At 38.5% G+C, this 6,089-nt stretch overlaps 1 pseudogene; it reads left to right on the top strand.

Annotated features, from left to right (window-relative positions):
* On the top strand, nucleotides 1,203-1,874 carry RPL23AP46 (ribosomal protein L23a pseudogene 46; annotated as a pseudogene).
* The last annotated feature ends 4,215 nt before the right edge of the window (nucleotides 1,875-6,089 follow it).

Here is a 6,089-nt window from a genome sequence, read left to right as displayed (position 1 = left end):
CTGCTATTTGCTGTCATCTGCTAGTTTTTCCTCATGGTGAAGTGCTTACTTGAGTGTGTTTGTGATCTGGATTGTGACCTTATCTTCAGAGAATCTCGAGAATGTGTCTTCCTCCAGAGTTGTGTTATTTTTACATAACTATACAATTATCATAAAATTATTATAGAAAGTGGGCATTATTACTTCTACAATATTGTTTCACAGCTTTGGCTTCCAGACCCTACAGAAAGAGTAAATTCAAATCTCAAAATCAAGGGCCAAAGGGAGAAGGCATGGATACAAATAACCAAGGAGACTCATTTCCCATCCTCACCCCAGGACAAAACAGATAAACCTCCATGTCATCCTCTCTGCTGTGTCAGAAAACCATGATTGAAAAATGCCTATCCTGACAGGCAGTTTGTTTCTGATACACCACTTGATTGAGGTTGTATCCCTGGCTTTACACAGAAGACTCAGAACTTCTATCTCAACATAACTTAAGGCTGAATATCCTCTTTCCAAAAGCATGTAAAAGCCAAGTCCTTGGCTACTAAGATTGAAAAATACCCCCAGGCAACTGCAAAATAAACTCTGACTGTTCTGGTTTTCATTTTCCTCTTGGTTTCTAACTTCCAGAGATTTCCTTATGTCTACATAGATGTGTGCTTATATGCATGTAGGCATTTATGTATGTATATATTCTTGCAAGATCAGTTAGACATTTAAATGGACATTTGTTATATTGTATCCAGCAATACAGAAGGGTTTTCAGGTTTTCTAATCTGCCACATTGACAGAAATTGAAGTCTGCTGGTCTATTTCACCTATTTTTTTTCTTTATGTTTTCTTCTTACTTCTAGTTTCAGCCTATTCAGAGCTTTGACTTTTCATGGTCCCTGCTAACAGCTACATTCTCTTTACCACATGAATACCATGCTTCATAGATTTCACTATTGACATGCCCAAGAGAAAGGAAGGTTTGTCCTAGCTAATGATGATTATTTCCTGCTTAAAAAGAGCTTTGCATAGCAGGCCATCATTATAGGCCACTGGTCAGACTGTAGATTGGCTGCCCCAGTGTTAGCGACTCACAAGTGGGTTCAATTAGCTATGATCACAACAGTGTGGCCATTCGTCTACAAAATGAATGCTATCTCAGCAGACTCTTCAGTGAGGCAATTCTCTTATATAGTGACTATCATTATGAAAGTAACCATGAGACAAGATGGCGCCAAAAGTGAAGAAGGAAGCTCCTGCCTCTGCAAAGCAGAAGCCAAAGCGAAGGCTTTAAGGGCCAAGAAGGCAGTGTTGAAAGGTGTCCACAGCCACATACACACAAAAAAAGATCGCACGTCACCCACATTCTGGCGGCCCAAGACACTGCGACTCCAGAGGCAGCAAAAATATCCTCAGAAAAGCATTCCCAGGAGAAACAAGCTTGATCACTATGCTATCATCAAGTTTCTGCTGACCACTGAGTCTGCCACGGAGAAGACAGACGACAACAACACACTTGTGTTCACTGTGGATGCTAAAGCCAACAAGCACCAGATCAAACAGGCTGTGAAGAAGCTCTATGACATTGATGTGGCCGAGGTCAACACCCTGTCAGCCTGATGGAGAGAAGAAGGCATACGTTCAACTGCCTCCTGATTACAATGCTTTGGATGTTGCCAACAAAATTGGGATCATCTAAACTGAATGCAGCTGGTTAATCCTAAATATATGTATATCTTTTCACTGTATACATGCCTCTCTGTCAATTTCTGGTTGGACTGAGAAGCCATATACAGGCACTGACGTTGTAACAGGACTCGGGCAAGATTCCTGTTCTACTTATCCTTTTGAAACACTCACCCTGCCACTCCACCATGCTTGATCACTCCAGAGATCTTTGTGACTAGAGTTAGTGTCCCAGGAAAACTAGAATTCAGAACTTGCCTTTATGGTTGAAGGTAACAAGAAGCTTTACAATAACCCCTTCTTTTATCCCTGGAAGAGGCTATGTGTGAAACCATTGCGCAGAGTTTGAAGGGCATTAGCATCCATTTCAGGGGAGTGTAGGTTGGCTGGCTTTTGGGTAGCATTTGTCCTCACACACCCATCTACTATGTCCAACCGGTCTGTCTGCTTCCCTCACCCCTTGCCCAATAAAGGACAAGGACTTCAAAAAAAAAAAAGTAACCTACATAGTGAATGAATGACCTACCTAGTGCCTTACCACCTGGAAAACCCAGGAACATTACTTACACACCAAAGAAGTGTCAGTATGATAAAACTGTGTATTCCCTTTCAACCTATTCCCACCTTATCCTTGAAGTTCTTCTTCCGGTCTTTCCCACATACACCCTAGTCTCCTTCCTCCCATTTTCATTTCAGCTTAGCCAAAGGCTCCCCTGGGTAGAATTTTTCTCACTCCAGTAGGTTCCTACGAATGGTATAATTATGTTGTCTTAAATTCCCAGATCCTAAAGCTTGAAACCATCTCTATAGATGGTCTCTAGATCTCAGAAACCATCTCTACAGAAAAATTGGAAACAGATTGCCATTAGGTGCTAGCTTCTAAGGCCAGATATCAGTATTTTTCAACCACAGTTTTCTGACATATTGGTTCCAACAATTGTGAGATAATTTTAAATATTTTGTTATTAACAATAAATGCATAATACTTATGAGGGATTTGCTTTTATTTCATAACTTCACTTGCATCATGATCATTTGCATTCTGAGTGAAAATTTTAAAATAAAATTATAAGTAGTGTATCAGTGAAATCTCTGTAATTGGAAACTACAGACATAAAATTCATTGGAAGGAAATCAAGGAGTGAAGAGGGGTCCAAAATGTATCAAAGGATGAAGAACAATGCTTCAGAATACACAGAAAGTAAGTCAGTTCCCAAAGCTCAGAAGCAGGAGCTCCCACCGTTGTCTCCCAGCTGGCAAAGGCTGCTGAGGACCCCGCTATCAGGAGGGAGGAAAGCTAACCATTAACATACTGCTTATTGTTCTACTCAAGATTCACATTCAAAAGCAGGGCAACTGATTGGTCTAGATTTGTCCTTGACTAGAAGACATCAAGCCTCTGATTATAGCAGTAAGGATGCTGTTTCAAAAAGGAAAATGAATGTTGAGCAGTGAAATAAAATAAAACATGACTGCCTACATAGCAGTTTCAGTAAGCAATGCTTGTCTGCTCTGTTTTCTTACTTAATGGGAAGAGCAGATGGAGAGTTACAAAACAGTAGGAACCAAGAGTTTTATACAAATTCTAAGCATCCTTTATATGAGCCCTAAGCATCACATTTTTTAGAAAAAGTCAGTGCTTTAAAAAAATTATGTATGTGATGAAGATAGCTCCTGATTCAAATACAGAAGCAAAACTAACAAGTATAATATATATGCTTTGTAAATATTCTTAAATCAGTAAATGCAAGCCTATCACTTGTTACAAAACAGAAAGGAAAATAAGTTCTCTACTCCCATCTCAACAGCCTCCTTTGTTTACCCCTGATTTCTGTGGAGGTTTTCAGGCCCTCCTCTCAGTTTCTTCATGCTCAGTGCTCATTGTGTGTGAGTCATGACAAGGCTCTCAGAAGCAGGGTTACCAGAGTGGGGCTGGCATCAGCGATCATTCCTGAAGTGCCAATGGGCATGATGTGCAGACAATTCCAGGCTCTTCCTTGCCTTCACAACTTTTGGTAACAGGTGCAGCAAATGAACTCCTGCCACCGTCTTCCTTAAATGCACACAAATAAAGCGTTACCATGTCTTGGATGTGAAGTGCTGCCTACTTCCATGAATCATATTTTGTGTTCCTGACTCTGCAACTGGGAATTAGTCATTTAGACTTAATTAGTTTCTTCAAAATTGCAAATGCCTGTGCCAATAATTTAATATCCAGATATTATTTATATAGCCATATAACATCTAGAAAAATGCCAATTTACACACTCAACCGATAACAACAAATATATATATTTTTTGCACTCTGCCGACAAAACCCCAAATGAACTCCGAGAGTCATGTGTTGAAACTGGCTGCTCTCCTACATTTGTAAGGGCAGTCAGAATTAAGGGCTGACTTTCAGCGATGCTGAATCCAACCAAGTGCTTGACAAGGCTCCATTGAAGGAAAATGCAAACGGAACAAATCATGCTTCAGACAACTTGTAAAGTTGTATTTAAATTTAATAATTTTATTAGATTTTGACTAAATGACAAAATTACATGACAGACATGTATTTTTTTAGGTACCTAAATCACAACTACTAGAGAAACAAGCATGCCACTAGAAATATAAATAACTCTTTGAATCTGATGCTCCGTTTTTCTACCACAAACACATGCTCAAGTGTGTAGAAATGGGTCTCATCCTTAGCTTTATTTTTTATGCATTTAATATTTGCAGAGACAAAAAAAGAGAAAATTTAATGTGTGGACTGTCCCTGAGATATTTCTTAAATTATTTGCAATCCTCACAAGAGTATCATAATCTATTTTGCTGAGGATGAGCAAAGCACATTTAAATTTCCAACTCAACCAACAACAATCTTTGAGTTTCTACTGTCATTTAAGTATATGTAACATCTCCGAAAGTGACTAGAGAATATTTTCTAGACACAAGGGTTTGTTGTTAATTTAATAAATATTCATTTAACATCTACTAATATGGATATAATCGCTAAACAAAATAAGCCTCATTACAATTTTTCAAAGTAGGAAATGCATGATTACCAGTTTTGACCATCAGAGTCTCTAATAATTGCTATTTAGTGAATACATGATACAAATATCAGTATATGATGATATATGGAGAAATTATTTAATTTGGTGCCTGCTGGAAAGGGCTAGTGACCTAGGTCATAACTTAACAGGAAATGATGAGCTGGGTTAATCCCAAGGGTTCCCACCCTTGGGAACTTGAATTAAGTAATATTGATCAAGTGAGGCAGTTAATGGTGAATATAAAATTGAAAGGGTGTGATAGAAGTGAACAGAGAAATCATGATAGGCCAAATTCAAGGAAGGGTCAAGTTCAAGAAGAATTGGAAAAGGATAAAATAGTTGCCAAAGAAAAGAGATAAAGTACCCAGTCCCAACAGCGAATTGGGTTACCGCTCCAATTTCAATGCATGTACTGCCTTGAAGTTCCTTTTGTTCTGTTACATTGCTTGGTACATGGCTTGAGCCTTTTTTCCTTAAAAAACAAACAAACAAACAAAAAAAGAGCCCAACTAAGGTATAGTCTATGCCTATTAATCCTGAGAATGGCTGCATAATGCAGCAGCTGTCTCTCCAAGAATGCTGGGTCTGCAGTTTCTCTGACAATTAAGTGTTCTTTGCACCATCAGCCATCTCCTGCTCTGGTGACAGAAGGTGAAAAGTTAAAGCCCTATTGGCACTAATAATATCTTCCTTTTCAGTTCCTGACGCAAATATCAGACATCTCACTTGAGTAAAAATGGACCCTACAGCACTTCTTGTGCAATGACTTTATATTTCTCTCTCGGGCAACAGGGCTAGAAAGTATGTCTTGTTAATTACTCTAGGCACTAATATATTTTTTAGTGCTGTGCTATATGCCTAAAATGTAAAGATAAACTAGCCCTGGTACTTACCTTCAAGGGGTTCGGGTCCACACTCTAATGGGAAAATTCACATGCAGCTAGTTGCAGAAGGAAATAATGAATGCTCAAGTCTTTGTTTATTTTTTTAATATGTTGTTCATCTTTTCCTAATTAATTTATGAGTTATTTATTTATTCTGAATATAATTGGAGTTCTTTGTTCCATGTGATCATTGTGAATACCTTCTTCTAATCTGTGACTTGTCTTGTATAGGAACAATGTTCTAACAGAGGAAGATTTCTGCCTAAAAGTATCAGAAAAGAATTCACTAATAGCATTGAACACCAAAATACATGTAGGATTTCATTAGGCAGAAAGTGGTAATGGACTTTTAAGATGAGACAATTCATAAGAATGAGTGATGGTATGGAGTTGAAAAAGTGTGAAGCTTAAGAAGTAGCAGACCTGGAACCCAAGACACATGTGTCAAGTGAAGCACAATGGAACCTTGGAGGCGGCGGTTGCAGTGAGCTGAGATCAT

This window comes from Homo sapiens, chromosome 6 (assembly GCF_000001405.40).
Source record: "Homo sapiens chromosome 6, GRCh38.p14 Primary Assembly".
Classification (NCBI taxonomy): Eukaryota; Metazoa; Chordata; class Mammalia; order Primates; family Hominidae; genus Homo; species Homo sapiens.
The sequence above is the reverse complement of the archived record's forward strand: the minus strand, read 5'-3'. Positions and strand labels throughout refer to the sequence as shown.